A 16,100-nucleotide genomic window follows, 5' to 3' on the forward strand; every position below is an offset into this window, starting at 1 on the left:
ATCAAAACCACAATGAGATAACATCTCACACCAGTTAGAATGGTGATCATTAAAAAGTCAGGAAACAACACGTGCTGGAGAGGTTGTGGAGAAATAGGAACACTTTTACACTGCTGGTGGGACTGTAAACTGGTTCAACCATTGTGGAAGACAGTGTGGCAATTCCTCAGGGATCTAGAACTAGAAGTACCATTTGACCCAGCCATCCCATTACTTGTTATATACCCAAAGGATTATCAATCATGCTACTATAAAGACACATGCACACATATGTTTATTGTGGCACTATTCACAATAGCAAAGACCTGGAACCAACCCACATGTCCAACAATGATAGACTGGATTAAGAAAATGTGGCACATATACACCATGGAATACTGTGCAACCATAAAAATGGATGAGTTCATGTCCTTTGTAGGGACATGGATGAAGCTGGAAACCATCATTCTCAGCAAACTATCACAAGGACAAAAAACCAAACACCCCATGTTCTCACTCATAGGTGGGAACTGAACAATGAGAACACTTGGACACAGGAAGGGGGACATCACACACTGGGGTCTGTTGTGGGATGGGGGAGGGGGGAGGGATAGCAATTAGGAGATACACCTAATATAAGTGATGAGTTAATAGGTGCAGCACACCAACATGGCATGTGTATACATATGTAACAAACCTGCACATTGTGCATGTGTACCCTCGAACCTAAAAGTATTATAATAAAAAAAATTATGTTGATTGGACTTTATGCCTCATATACAAGCAAGAGAATGGCTTGTACTAAAATCCCAGTTTAGTAATTTGAGAAATGTAACAATAAAGCATAGTCCCAATACTAATTAATTAGTACACTCACTTCTGATTAGGGAGGTCAATCTGAAGGCTAAATAAGGACCAGTTTCAGAAATTGAAAGATACTTGTTATATAGGATTTAACCTGCTTGAACTTAACCCAGTAATCCTGTCATGTGATCTAGAAATCATTCCCAGAGCCATTGCTGAAGATACAGGATGAAAGTTTGTCTGTGAGCTTTGCTTTGCAGTGTTCCAAATGACCATTTGAGTTCTTGTTGTGTAAGTATACATGAGAAAGGCTCTCCATTGTTTATTTAATCTGAGAAGGTGCCTCTAGAAATAATACCATTTAAAATTTACCAAGTGTTTACTGTCATGTATGAGTGTGTTGTTCATTTTCTCATTTAGTTTAGTGCAATGGGGCTATAAGGAAAATATGTTTTTCTCATTTAAAGGAACAAAGAGGCTCAGGTTTTTGCAAATACAGTAACATTGCTAGGGGTCACATAACTCATAAGTGTTGCTGCAACTGAAATTTGAACTCATTTGAATTTCAGCATTTGGCTTAATAGACACTGATTTCTGTCTTAATATGCTGATTGTGTGGGGGTTCCCAAGACCCACCCGTAGGTTCAGTGATTGGCTAGAAGGACTCACATGATCCAGCATCAGTTGTACTAACAGCCAGGATTTATTACAGCACAGGAAAAAGGTGCACGGGGTGAAGTTCAGAGGCAAACAGACACAAGCTTCCAAGAGTCCTCTCCCTATGGAGTCACACAGGATGTACATAATTCTTCCAGCAATGAATCGTGACAACATGTGTGAAATGTTGTGTACTAGGGAACCTCATTAGAGAGTCAGTGCCCGAGATTTTTATTGAGTCTGGTCATGTAGGCATCTCCTGCCTAACACATACCAAAATTCCAGATTCCCGGAAGGAAAGCAGATGTTTATACAAACAATACAATGTTGTTTGTAAAGTTTAGGCACAGTGAATCACGCTTATCATTTAGGAAAAGTTTTATATCAATGTAGGGAACTGTTCACCATTAAAGTTTCCACATGCCAGCCAAGGGCCAATCTCGACAACCAAGTCCTTCTAAGGATAGCAATCTTAGGCCTGTTAACTTTTTTCCTGTACACTGATTTATTCATTTGAAGCAGTTGTGATTATTATCATTCAGCTTTTGACAAGTAATGAGAAAAGTACATATTATGGCAAACTAAATTATTTAATGGAATCTGTTTTGTGGAGGGTGGAGAGGTCCCAGTTGCCGCTGATTTTCTGGAAGGATGCACACAACATAAAGCTGTACTCATGGCTCAAGTTTATTACAGCAAAGGATACAATGCAGGAAGAAGGTAAATGGTAGAGTGGGTAGGCATAGGCTTCCAGGTCCTATCTCAGTGAGAATCACAGGGACATGCTTTTCTCTCCAGCAGTGAGTGATAGAGACACATGCAAGATGTCTCTAGCCAGAGAAGCACACAAGTGTTACAGTCCAGAGTTCTTACAGGGAGCTAGTCACATAAGCACATTCCTACCATATGACCAGCTCTGGTAACTGAAACTGGGGACCCCACACCAGACACCAGGTACACATAATAAATCTTAATGATTACTTTAAAACAATGCTGACAGCCTGGTACATCCTGACTCACTGCCTGGAGCATACACAAAAAGATCATTAACAAGTGACTGTTAACAATCCAGGAACATAGTTCTCAGAGTTTGGCTAGGGTCATTGCCGTGACTCCAGGAATCCCCTAGAGATTAGCACAACCTAAGTAAAACGGACCTGCTGTGTTAACTCGATTCATACAGTTGAAATACTGTTGGATTTGTTGAATGCAATATTTAATGCTAGATATACTCTTTAGAGTATGATATTCTAAATGTAGAAACAATAATTGATGGTAAAATAGCTGACCAATTTTGTTTCTCTGAGAAGTTTGTAGATTTTTTTTTTAATTAGGGATTTATAGATTCTTTTCTTTTAGGGTGACTTTTGGATTTCCTATTTTTGTCCACAGCTATTTGTATTATATAATGATATGTGTTATGTTAAAGAGTAATACAAAAATATTAACTTAAAGACAGTTATTTCAAAATTAACCTTCACTTTGTGAAGGTCTTCCTTGTGATTGGCTTTATAACACAATGGGATCCTTTTTTACAGAATTTGCAGAATTGTGGAAATACCAGTTTTGCAGAAAGCACATCAGCCATAGTTTTTTTTAAAAAAGAATGTCTGATTCCAGGATATGGAATCAATCTTTGCCGCTTTATTTATTGCTAGTTGAAACCTGCTTTATGTTATACAGAAACAACAAAGTGGATGGTGACAGTCCCCTGCTTAAAAATGGGACATTCTGAGTTAACATAGTTAAATAGATTCCCATATTTTTCCTTATTGCAGAACTTTACAGACCCTTTAGTAGGATAATATGCAATGTGAATCTACCAGGACAAATAGAGTATAGACTGTTTCCTCGACTTACTTGACTCTGGAATGTCTTTAGTGAAGACTGTCTCAGTTATTGGTCCTGCAATAACAGTGTTCTTTAGAACAAAATGGACCAGAGGGAAAGACTGTCTTAAGGACAGGGAAAGGCCATTAGAGGGTTTTAGGTCAAAGAGAGACAGAAACAAAACAACTGTAGAAAAAACTTACTTTAAACAAACAAAACCTTGTATCATATGCTGCTTTCTCATAAAACCTGTTCAGAAACTTCCCTATCTTGATGTTTCTTTGCCTGTCAGGTTTCCTTAATTGATATTTCTCTTTGGAATGTGAATGGCATGTCTCTTAGATTGGTGTTTAACAGTGTGATTAGATGTGGGTCGTTACATTCATGCTTGTACCACCTACAGTACCTGACACAGTATCAAGAACATCATTGGACAAAATAAATATCCAGAGAGCATGAAATGAGTTGTGACTCAAAAATACAGGCATGTCCATGTTATTGTACTTTGTTTTATTGTACTTCACAGATACTACTTTGTTTTTTTTTTTTTTTTTTTTTTTTTCAACAAATGGAAAGTTTGTGGCAACCCTACACTGAAAAAGTCCATAGGCACCATTTTTCCAACAGCATCTGCTCACTTTGTGTCTTTATGTCACATTTTGGTAATTCTTAGAGTATTTCAGAGGTTTTCATTATTATATCTGTTGTGGTGATTTTTGATTAGTGATCTTTGTTGTTATTATTGTAATCATTTTGAGGTACCACAAACTTGTGCCCATACAAGACGGCAAGTTTAATCAATAAATGTCTTTTCTGACTGCTCCGCCGACCAGCCGTTTCCCTGTCTCTCTCCCTCTCCTCGGGTATCCCTGTTCCCCAAGATACAACACATACACCACCACACTCTGCTAAGCAACAGTATTGAAAGGATGCAAATTAATAACCCTACAGTGGCCTCTAAGCATTCAAGTGAAAGGAAGAGTCATGTGTCTCTCACTTAAAAGCTAGAAAAGATAACGCTTAGTGAGGAAGGCATGTCGAAAGCAGAGATGGGCCAAAAGCTGGGCTTCTTGCGCCATATAACTTGAAAAGTTCTGAATGGCAAGGAAGAGTTCTTGAAGGAAGCTACTCCAGTGAACACACAAATGATAAGAAAGCAGAACAGCTTTATTGCTGACAAGACAGTTTTAGTAGTCTGCATAGATCAAACCAACCACAACGTTCCCTTAAGTCCAGCCTAATCAAGAGCAGGGCCCTAACTCGTCAATGCTATGAAGGCTGAGAGAGGTGAGGAAGCTGCAGAAGAAAAGTTTGAAGCTAGCAGAGATTGGTTCAGGAGGTTTAAGGAAACAAGCCATCTCCACAATGTAAAAACAAGTGTTGTTGTAGAAGCTGCAGCAAGTTATCCAGAGGATCTAGCTAAGACCGTTGATGAAGGTGGCTACACTAAAAAACAGATTTGCAATGCAGACAAAACAGCCTTCTATTGGAAGAAGATGCCATCTAAGACTTTCATAGGTAGAGAGAAGTCAGTGCCTGACTTTAAAGCGTCAAAGAACAGACTGACTTTGTTAGTAGGTGATAGTGCAGCTAGTAACTTTAAGTTGAAGCCAATGTTCAGTTACCATTCTGAAAATTCTAGGACCCTTAAGAATTACACTAAATCTATTCTGCCTCTGCTCTATACATGGAACAACAAAGGCTGGATGACAGCATATCTGTTTACAACATGGTTTATTGAATAATTTAATTCCACTGTTGAGACTTGCTGCTTAATAAAAAAGATTCCTTTCAAAATATTACTTTTCATTGAGAATGCACCTGGTTACCCAAGAGCTGTGATGGAGGTGTGTGATGAGAATAATGTTTTCATGCCTGCAAATGCAACATTTATTCTGCAGCCCATGAATCAAAGAGTAATTTTGACTGTCAAGTCTTATTTAAGAAATACATTTCATAAGGCCATAGTTGCTGGGTCTGACCCACAGACCCCGACCAAGCGATGGATGAACGGATGCACTCAGACACAGGTATCCAGTGAGAGTGGGCTAGGAGACTCGGCTGCTCATGTACCCCAAGGAGGGTGTTGTAAAGAGTTGTAGCAGCTGTGGCCCTGACAAGCTGGTGCTGCAGGCATTTATTTATACAGATTTAATGACAAAGGCCTTGAGTCAACACACTTTTGGGTAATTAACATGGTGCTTCCCCCCTTCCCCACCCCACACACACACACAGCCCCAGCAGTCCTGCACTCAGATGATTAAAGGCCAGGTTCTACTAAGTAAACTAAGTTATCTAGATCAGTTTCTTTACATCTCCTTGTTATCTAACCTAAGCGTTCAGGCACAGGGTGAGAGAATCTGGCTGCCTTCAGCCAAATCCTTTTCTGAAGCTTTTGTAAAATCTCCCGGCCTTCCAAGAAGGTTTGCATCTTTCTACAATTTTTCCCACCACAGTGACCAATCTCCTACACATAGCTCCCATAGACAGTGATTCCTTTGGTGGATCTGAGCAAAGTAACAGAGTTTCACCATTCTAGATGCCATTAAGAACATTTCTGATTCATGGGAGGAGGTCAAAACATTGACAGGAGTTTGGAAGAAGCTGAGTTCAACTGCAGATGTGGTAGCAATAGCAAGAGAACTAGAATTAGAAGTGGAGCCTGAAGATATGGCTGAATTGCTGCAATCTTAAGATAAAACTTGAATGGATGAGTAGTTACTTCTTATGGATGGGGAAAGAAAATAGTTTCTTGAGACAGACTCTGCTCCTTGTGAGGATGCTATGAACACAGTTGAAATGACAACAAAAAATTTAGAATAATCCATAAACCTAGTTGATAAAGCAGTGGCAAGGGGTTTGAGAGGATTGGCTTCAATTTCGAAAAAAGTTCTACTCTGGGTAAGATGCCATCAAACAGCATTGCATGCTGTAGAGAAATCTTTCATGAAAGGAAGAGTTGATGTGGCAAACTTCATTTTTGTCTTATTTTAAGAAATTGCGACAGCCACTCCAGCAGCCACCACCCTGAACGATCAGCAGCCATCAACACTAAGGCAAGACCCTCCACCAGCAAAAAAATTACGATTCGCTGAAGGCAAAGATGATTGGTAGAATTTTTTAGCAGTAAAATTTTTAAATTAAGGTATATACATTACTTTTAAAGACAATGCTGTTGCGTACACACTGCTGTATAGTATCAACATAACTTTTATTTGTACTGGGAATCCAAAATATTTATGACTCATTTTACTGAATATTTGCTTTATTTTGGTAGTCAGGAACCACACCTGCAGTATCTCTGAGGTATGCCTGTAGCGAAACTTCATTTTTTTAAAGAACAACAATATAGTAGACATAAAAGTTAGGTGCTATGCATTTATTTTAGTAATGATATCATTTTGAGAAACATTTTTGGAATTTTATTTTAGACTTCTCTTGAGTTTGGCTTTTTTTCCCATTAACATTAACTTATTTTTTGTGATCTTTATGCTTGTTTGATTTGTAGAATTGTTCCACCATAAATATTTAAATACTTTTAACTACTAGATTTCTTTTTTCTTTTGTCAGACGAAGTCTCACTTTTGTCCCCCAGGGTGGAGTGCAGTGGTGCGATCTCAGCTCACTGCAACCTCCACCTCCCGGGTTCAAGCAATTCTCCTGCCTCAGCCTCCCGAGTAGCTGGGATTACAGGTGCCTGCCACCACAGCCGGCTAATTTTTGTATTTTAAGTAGAGACAGGGTTTCACCATGTTGGCCAGGCTGGTCTCAAAACTCCTGACCTCAGGTGATCCCCCCACCTTGGCCTCCCAAAGTGCTAGGATTACAGGTGTGAGCCACCATGTCCAGCCTTAACTACTAGATTTCTTTTGCAGTATTTGGAATATTATTTTAAGTAATTAAATGATCAATCATAGCTACTACATTCTTTTTTTGCCTTATTAAAACCTACCCTTTAAGATCAGGAATAAAACAAGGATGCCTGTTGTTACCTTCCTTTTTCAATATGTTATTAATACTAGAAATCTTCGCAAGGTAGCTGAATTTAAAATCAACAAATAAAAATACAGGTGCATTTTTGTAAATCAGCAATAAAATACCATTTCAGGTAGGAAAAAATTAAAGTAACAAGTATTTTCTAACAAAATTGTGTTAAACCTTTAAAAGAAAATTATAAAATTTTATTGGAAGATGTTAGGAAAGGTCTAAATAAATGGAGAGAGAATATTTTTATAGATTTAAAGATGCTTTTGGAAAGATAGCAGATCTCTCCAGTTATTTATAGATTTATTTCAATCTAGTCAGAATCATGACAACTTTTATTTTTGGGTTAAAAAGTTGATTCTAAAATTTTTGAGGAAGACTTAACAGGTCAGGAGTAGCCAAGACACTCCTCTAAAGAAGTTGTGATAGGTGAGAAGACTTGTTTTACCATATATGAAGAATTAGTATAAAGCTGTAAAAGTTAAGACAACAGTATGGTATAGGGAGAGATAGATCAATAGAAGAGAATATGGAAACCCAGAAACTTGGCTTGTGACAAAGTTGGTATTACACTCCTTTAGAGAGAGCTTTCCATAAATAGTTCTTGGACAGCTGGTTATCCACATAGGAGGGAATGACATTGAATCCCTGCTTAAATGGGAAAAGCAAACCTTTAACATTTTTAGATATTAAAACATTATAATGATTTCTAGATAGAGAAGATTTTCTTAAAACATAGAAAATATGAACCGTAAAAGATGCTACTTTTTTTGTTTTAGAGATGGGGGTCTTGCTATGTTGCCTAAGTTGGTCTTGAACTTCTGGCCTCAAGCAATCCTCCCACCTTGGCTTCCCAAAGTATTGGGACTATAGGCATTAGCCACCATACCCAGACAAAGATACTTCTTTTTTATTAAGAACATTGGGAAAAGGGCTTGGGATGGTGGCTCATACCTGTAATCCCAGCACTTTGGGAGGCTGAGGTGGGAGGATTGCCTGAGCCCAGGAGTATGAGACCAGCCTGGCCAATATGGTGAAACCCTCTCTTTGCAAAAAAAATACAAAAATTAGGCGGGCATGATGGCGTGTGCCTGTAGTCCTAGCTCGGAGGCTGAAGTGGGAAGGATTCATTGAGCCCAGGAGGTTGAGGCTTCAGTGAGCCATGATTGTGCCACTGCATTCCAACCTGGGCAACAGAGGGAGACCCTGTCTCCAAAACGCTGGGAAAAGATACTGCAGTACATTTAACTCACACAAGGCTACATTAGGATCTTCACAGACTAACAAGAAAAACACAAAACAACACATCTAGTAGAGCAGAACTTCAGTAGGCATATTAGAGAAGAGGAAATGGAATGATCAGTAATGCCAGAGATGGTGGGGAAATGCAAATTAAAACTATATTAAGATACCAATTACATCAGATTGTCAAAAATAAAAATGTCTGACAGTAATAAGTGTTGTCAACGATATAACACATCCACCACGTGCAGTGATATAACAGTTCACATCTGGTGGGTGGTTTCAGCCACCTGGGAAAACAAATTGGTGATATCTGATCATATTGAAAATATGCATACTGTGCCACCTAACAACCATACGTATATACTTTAGATCAGGGGTCGGTGTGATGACTCATGAGTTAAGAATGGTTTTTAACATTTTTAAGTGCTTAAAAAAAATAATATTTTGTAATTTATAGTGTGAAAATTATATGAAATTCAAATTTTGGTGTCCAAAAATAAGCTTGGAATATTGTCACATTCATTTATGTACCTCTTACAGATGCTTTCATGGTACAACACTAGAGTTAAGTTGTTGCAACAGACATTGCATGACTCAAAAAGCCTGAAATCTTTATCATCTGGCCCTTTGCAGAAAATATTTACTGACCTCTTCTCTAAATAAATACTCTTGCACATGCGTACTAGTAGACATGTTCAGGAATGGTCATAGCAGTATTGCTTGTAATAACGGAAACCTAGAAAGAACCCAAATGTCTGTTAAGAGTAGAGAAATAGGTTTGCTAAGCCAGCGGAATACTATTCAGTAGTGAAATGGAATTGGATGCATGGATGGATCCAAGCATATGGATAAATCTCAGAAACAGTGTTAGAAAAAAGCAAGTCAGGTTTTTCCACTTATAAGCACTTCAGAAACAGTCAAGTATAAATAAGGCATTGTTAAAGATACTCGTGAGGTTAAATTATCAGGACAAGGAAGGACCGTAAGAATAGGGATTGCCTTTGAAGAGTTGGGGAAGAGATGGGATTTGAGAGGGAACTTTAAAAATCATGTTCTTATTGTTAAACCAGGTGGTGGAGATGTGTGTTGTGTTGTGATCATTTATTTCCGTGACATGTTTTATACGTACTCTTTTGATATTTTATAAGTTTTTGTGATCTGGGGCATTAAAAAGTATCTTTTCAAATAGTATAGTCTGTCTCATAATATATAATTATGACCCACAGAGTGGAAGCTCATCAGCAGACTAGAAGCTGCTTTTTACCTATTGCCCCCTCTTCCCTGGTTCCCCAAGCATTCTGGTTGTGTCAGGAACCCAATTCAGATTTTCTTAAGCAGAAAAGGGGACTAATAGGATTCCTCGTTGGGTCACTGAAGCCAAGGAAGAGTCAGGGACTTGGTCACTGTCAGGGTGCTCTGCCACTCATCTGTATGTCTCTGCTTGGCCACATTGTTTTTGGCTGCAAGTGGCCTTCTCCATGTCGGGGGCAGTGTGACTGAGCGCAGTCCTAGAGCACAGCCTTCCAGGTCTGTGACTCAGGCCAAGGAGTCAGGTCCTGTGGTCAGCCTGGCTAGGTCATACTGTGGCCAGGCAACTGGATCTGTTACCAGAAGAAACCTTTTGAGGAGGGGAGGAGAGGTTAAGGGTCAGAATCATGAGCCCGGCAGCCACTTCTGTTTGTAATGGTTACATATGTATTAATTGTAAAGCAATATGTGTGGCATTTTGTCACACCTTTGTGTGGATATCAGGGCTGTTTTGATGTTAACGCTAAGATGTTGCCTAAGACATGGCACTGAGACATGGCCGAGGTGGGAAGAGGGGTTAGAAATGTCTGTTGAGCATATTATTACCTGTTAAAAATAAAAATACAGCATGATCAGCTCTCCTACCACTTTATAGTCACACCTGTCTCCTTCCCTTCTTCCCATAAGGACATTTAAGGCATTAAGTACTTGAGTCTAAATAGATGTTACAAACTTGGTTTAAAACATAACACATATCTGGCTGGGCACGGTGGCTCACGCCTGTAATCCCAACACTTTGGGAGGCCGAGGCAGGCAGATCACGAGGTCAGGAGATCGAGACCATCCTGGCTACCACAGTGAAACCCCATCTCTACAAATTCAAAAAATGAGCAGGGCGTGGTGGCAGGCACCTGTAGTCCCAGCTACTCGGGAGGCTGATGGCAGGCACCTGTAGTCCCAGCTACTCGGGAGGCTGAGGCAGGAGAATGGCGTGAACCGGGGAGGTGGAGCTTGCAGTGAGCCGAGATCGTGCCACTACACTCCAGCCTGGGCAACAGAGTGAGACTGACTCAAAAAAAAAAAAAGAAAAAAAAACACATATCTACTATTCTGAATGACTGGAAGGGCATTTAACCCATTGGTGTTTCATTGGGATGCAAATTTGTAGGGAGTTTGTATCTTTTGCTTTTCTGTTTGCCAGGTTCTTTGTTTTGAACATACATTACTTTACAAACAGGAAAAATATAAACTTTTAAAGGTATTGGTGGAAGTCAGTTTGTCATCTTAAAAACTGACATTCCACTCAAGACACTAAACACTGTATTCTCTAATTTGAAACATTCGAGCCAATAAATTTTATAGGAGTTTATTTACATCATGACTACCCCAAATGATAAGCTTGTTCTTCTGACCTCTAAACTTGAGATAACACCCGGGAAATAACTACAGAAAGAGAATATCCAGGTTTTAATGGAATGTGGACATCAATCTGGGCAGGAATTTTGGATTGATTATTTGCTAATTTTTTGTTAAATACTTATGTTGAATAAGAAGATTCCAAGACCTGAAAATTGGTTCTCCTTTTTCTTTGGCTATCGAATAAGGCTTCTCAGTGCTAAATTTCGATCAGTAACCACTTGACAGCTCAAAAACTGTGGCAGAAGTATTGGCCTGAACACTTTATAGGAAGCTGGGAATATAAATTGAAGCCTACGAGACTGGAGCCGTACTCACTTTGGCTACTAGGGGTAAGCCAGAATAGCTGCTACTTGGTTTTGACAATTTTGGCTTCAGTTATCTTTCTACATATTCACTTTTATATTGCTATAAGGTAGGATCCAAGTTTATTTTTTAATTATATGGAAAGCCACTTGTCCCTGCACCAATTTTCTTTGTAGTAGCATCTTTTTAGTTTTTCACACTTGTATGGATTTGTTTTGGGTTACCATATGGTTTTAAGTACGTCTGCTTTATAATTCAGTCCAGGCCAGGCGTGGTGACTCACACCAGTAATCCCAGCACTTTGGGAGGCTGAGGCGGGCGTATCACTTCAGGTGACGCGTTTGAGACCAGCCTGGTCAACATGATGAAACCTCTTCTCTACTAAAAATACAAAAATTAGCTAGGCATGGTGGCATGCACCTGTAGACCCAGCTACTTGGGAGGCTAAGGCAGGATAATTGCTTGAACCCAGGTGGCAAAGGTTGCAGTGAGCCAGGATCACACCACTGCACTCCGGCCTGGGTGACAGAGCAAGACTCTGTCTCAAAATAAATAAATAAGTAAATGAATAAATAAATAAATAAATCCATTCCCCAAAGCCTCATTTGGGTTTTGATAAGAATTATATTGAATTTATAGATTAATTTTGGGAATAACCTTGTATTCATTTTCTCATCTATTCATTAGTTAGTTATTCTTTTGTATCCTTCAATAAAGCTCCACAGTTTTCTTCACCTCTTGCACCTGTTGGGTTTTCATAGCTATTTTGAATGTTTTTTTTTTTTTTTTTTTTTTTTTTCTGGGAGATGGAGTCTCGCTCTGTTGCCCAGGCTGGAGTGCAGTGGCGCAATCTCAGCTCACTGCAAGTTCTGCCTCCCAGGTCACACCATTCTCCTGCCTCAGCCTCCTTCCCAAGTAGCTGAGACTACAGGCGCCCGCCACCATGCCCGGCTAATTTTTTGTATTTTTAGTAGAGACGGGGTTTCACCGTGTTAGCCAGGATGGTCTCGATCTCCTGACCTCCTGATCCGCCCGTGGCCTCCCAAAGTGCTGGGATTATAGGCGTGAGCTGCCGCACCTGGCCGGTTTATTTTATATATTCTAAATAGTTATAACTACCATATAGGAGCACGACTGATGTTATATGTTCATCTGTAGTCATCTGCCTTATGAAATCAATAATTAGCTCTAATGGTTTATCTTTTGATTCTTAAATAATTTCTATGTAGAAATCATACCATCTGCAGATGATAATTTTGTTTTTTTCCCCCTAATCCTTAATTCATTTTCTTATCTGTTGCTTGGACCTTCAGTACAGTGTCAGACTGAAGTGAGGATACATAACTTGCCTTATTTTAACTGAAGCTTCATCATTAAATATGATGTTTATTGTAGATTAAAGAATTCCCTTTCTAGTTCTAGTTTGCTGTTGAAGTTTTCGGTTGCTGAGTAATGAATTACCTAAAAATTTAATGGCTTTAAGCAATGAAGTTATTATCTCATATTTTCTTTGGGTCAGGAATGGAAGAGCAGTGTATTAGTTCATTTTTACACTGCTATGAAGAACTACCTGAGACTCGATAATTTATGAAGAAAAGGGGCTTAATTGACTCACAGTTCCACGGGCTTACCAGGAAGCATGACTAGGAGGCCTCAGGAAACTTACAATCATGGCAGAAGGTGAAGGGGAAGCAAGCATGTCTTACCATGGAGGAGCAGGAGAGAGAAAGAGGTGGGGGAAGTGCCACACATTTGTAAACCATCAGATCTCCTAAGAACTCACTCACTATCCCGAGAACAGCAAGGGGGAAATCTGCCCCCATGATCCTTTTACCTCCCACCAGGTCCCTTCCCCAATACTGGGGATTACCATTCAACATGAGATTTGGGTGGGGACACCGAGCCAAACTATATCAAGCATCTTAGCAGGATATTGGCTCAGGATCTTTCATGAGGTTGTACTCAAGATGTCAGCTGGAGCTGCCGTCATCTGAAGGCTTGCCTGGGGCTGCTTTCAAGGGGGTCTCACTTTCATGCCTGGCAGCATAATGTTGGTTGTAAGCAGGAGGCTTCAGTTTCTTACTATGTGGACCTCTGCATAGGAATGCTTAAGCATCCTTCTGACATGGCACTGGCCTTCCCCAGAGTGTGATCAGAGAGAGTGCTGGGGGAGGCCATAGAGTGTTTAATGACTCAGTCTTCACTTCCATCATATTCTGTTGGTTAGAAGCAAGTCACTAAGTCCAGCCCACACTCTAGGAGGAAGTTAAATGATACAAAAAGTATTTTGTGTGTTTCTTTTAGTCTGTCTGCCCTACAGAGTAGCATAAGTCAAGGGCTTCTGTCTGGATATCTTTACCTCAGGCCTCTCCTTTGAGCCCTGTGTATATCCAAGCAGCCATGGTAGCATCTCTCATTGAAGGTTCAAAGGCACCTCATACTCAACATGTCCCAAATCACACTTAACGTTTCTTCCCATCTTCTCCTCCCCTCCAAAAATTGGTCCTTTTTCACTGGTCCCCATTTCCATGATTGACACCTTTCTCTGTCCAGCTGTACAAGCTAGGATTGAGTTTGTCCCATCGTATCTCTTGTATCTTCCCACTTTTATCATCTCCAGCTTCATCTCACATCACAGTTTCCTTTTCTTTTTCTTCAGTTCACTAGCTTTTCAGTGTTGGGCTCCTTTCTGCTGTAGAGCCTTTACTATTCACTGCCTGTAATGCTTATTTTCCCTCAAACCATGTCTTTCTTAGGGAAGCCTTTTTGACAAAGTCAAATCTATTATAGATGTGTGTAGAGCTGTGTACCTTCTTTCAAAGCAGTTATCACAATTGGAATTTCACATTTATATGATTATTAACGTCTGCTTCCCTGGAGCCAACTCTGAACTTCATAAAGTCAGGGAGTGTGTGCATTTTGTTCACCCTTGTATTCCCTGCATTTGACACATTCCCTACATTTACTGTTTGGGTGACTGAATGAGTTAATAAGTGAATTAATACATTGATTATAGTTCTGTTTGAGAAATAGAGCAAATAGAATATAAAATTAATAAAATAATCTAGGCTCTTTTATTTGTATTGGAGGATAACACTTGTCTTTTTTAAGTCTTTTAGTTTTCTTGGCAGAAACTCTAGCTGTTAATTAAATAAATAGATTTGTCGAAGGTTCTCATATGTAATACCTCTGTCTGGTTAGTATGATGTAAAACTAGTGATCCTGGCTGTGGGTGGCTGGGAGACTGCTGTGTTCTCAGGAGAGAGGAGTAAAGCTAGGATCCAAGAGAATGAAGCTTTGTTTTCTCAGAAAGTTACTATCCAGCTGAGATTCTCTCAAACTTTCTGGAGAGCTTTGGTTAGAAATATGAGGGGTAGGAGAAAATCATTTGGCCGTAGAAAATACTGATTAATCTTTGGGAAAATTTGGCATGTGATATTAAGAATAGGATCAGGGTTAGGCGTGGTGGTGCGTGCCTGTAATCCCAGCAGTTTGGGAGGCCGTGGTGGGTGGATCACTTGAGACCAGGAATTCAAGACCAGCCTGGGTACAAAGTGAGAACCTGTCAAAAACAAAAAGAGAAGAAGAAGAAGAAGAAGAAGAAGGAAGGGAGGAAGTGAGGAAGGGAGGAAGTGAGGAAGGGTGGAAGGGAGGGAGGAAAGGAGGGAAGGAAAGAGGGAGGGAAGGAAGGAAGGGAGGGAGGGAGGGAGAGAGGATTGGATCAGAAGTTTACTGATATGCAAATGGGCCCTGACTTAAGATTTTTTGACTTTGTGAGAGTGTAAAACCATCACAATTTATGTGTAAGTATGGTATTCAGTAAATTGCATAAGATATTCAACACTTTATTGTAAAATAAGCTTTGTGTTAGATGATTTTGCACAACTATATGCTAATGCAAGTGTTCTGAGCACATTTAAGGTAGGCTAGGCTAAGCTATAATGTTCTGTTGGTTAGTTGTATTAAAGGCATTTTCGACTTTCGACTTAAGATGTTTTCAACTTATGATGGGTTTATTGGTACATTACCCCATCATAAGTCGAGAAGCATCTGTAATTAATCACTATACTTTGATATTAACTCTAATTTTATAACTTTAAAAATAAGTAGTTAAATGCATTTCAAATGGAAGGTTTTAACTTATGTGGTTGGGACAAAATAAGCAACTTTTAGTTACTTCCAAAATGAATTCTGGTATGTGTCTTTTGAGAAAACATAAAACAGTTTCTCTCTTTGTAAAACTGGCATTGTTTCTTTGAGGTATCCTCTCCCCCATGTTTGTTTATTTTTAAGTTGATTGAGATTGAATTTATATACAGTAAAATTCATCATTTTAGGTTCAGTTGTATAAGTTTATACAGTGGACACAGTTGTATGACCCCCAGCCCAAGAAAGTTATGGAATGTTTTCATTGCCACAGATTCATTTATGGGCAATCCCCTATTCCTTTTTCAGCCCTTGGCAGCCGCTGATCTGATTTATTGCTGGTTGCTGGGTGGTGTTTCATTGTATAAATATAGTGCAATTTGTTTATCCATTCATCAGATGATTGACATTTGGATTGTTTCCAGATATTGATGATTATAAGTAGGCTGCTATAAAGATGTGCATACAGGGCTGTGTGCAGATAT

At 39.4% G+C, this 16,100-nt stretch overlaps 1 protein-coding gene across 13 annotated transcripts in view; it reads left to right on the forward strand.

Moving 5' to 3' along the window:
• GALNT1 (polypeptide N-acetylgalactosaminyltransferase 1) overlaps nucleotides 1–16,100 on the forward strand; it is a 130,913-nt gene that overhangs the window by 52,055 nt on the left and 62,758 nt on the right. The window contains exon 2 of one of the 13 annotated variants that reach the window (NM_001384446.1): nucleotides 12,989–13,201. The exons of 10 other annotated variants lie outside the window; for them this stretch is intronic. The gene's annotated coding sequence lies outside the window, so the exon portion shown is untranslated. Of the gene's footprint in view, nucleotides 1–977; nucleotides 1,075–3,833; nucleotides 11,496–12,988; nucleotides 13,202–16,100 lie in introns of those variants that run through there. 2 more of the 13 variants (XM_047437465.1, XM_047437467.1) reach the window with 2 other exon arrangements.

The sequence above is a fragment of the Homo sapiens genome, chromosome 18, assembly GCF_000001405.40.
Source record: "Homo sapiens chromosome 18, GRCh38.p14 Primary Assembly".
Lineage (NCBI taxonomy): Eukaryota > Metazoa > Chordata > Mammalia > Primates > Hominidae > Homo > Homo sapiens.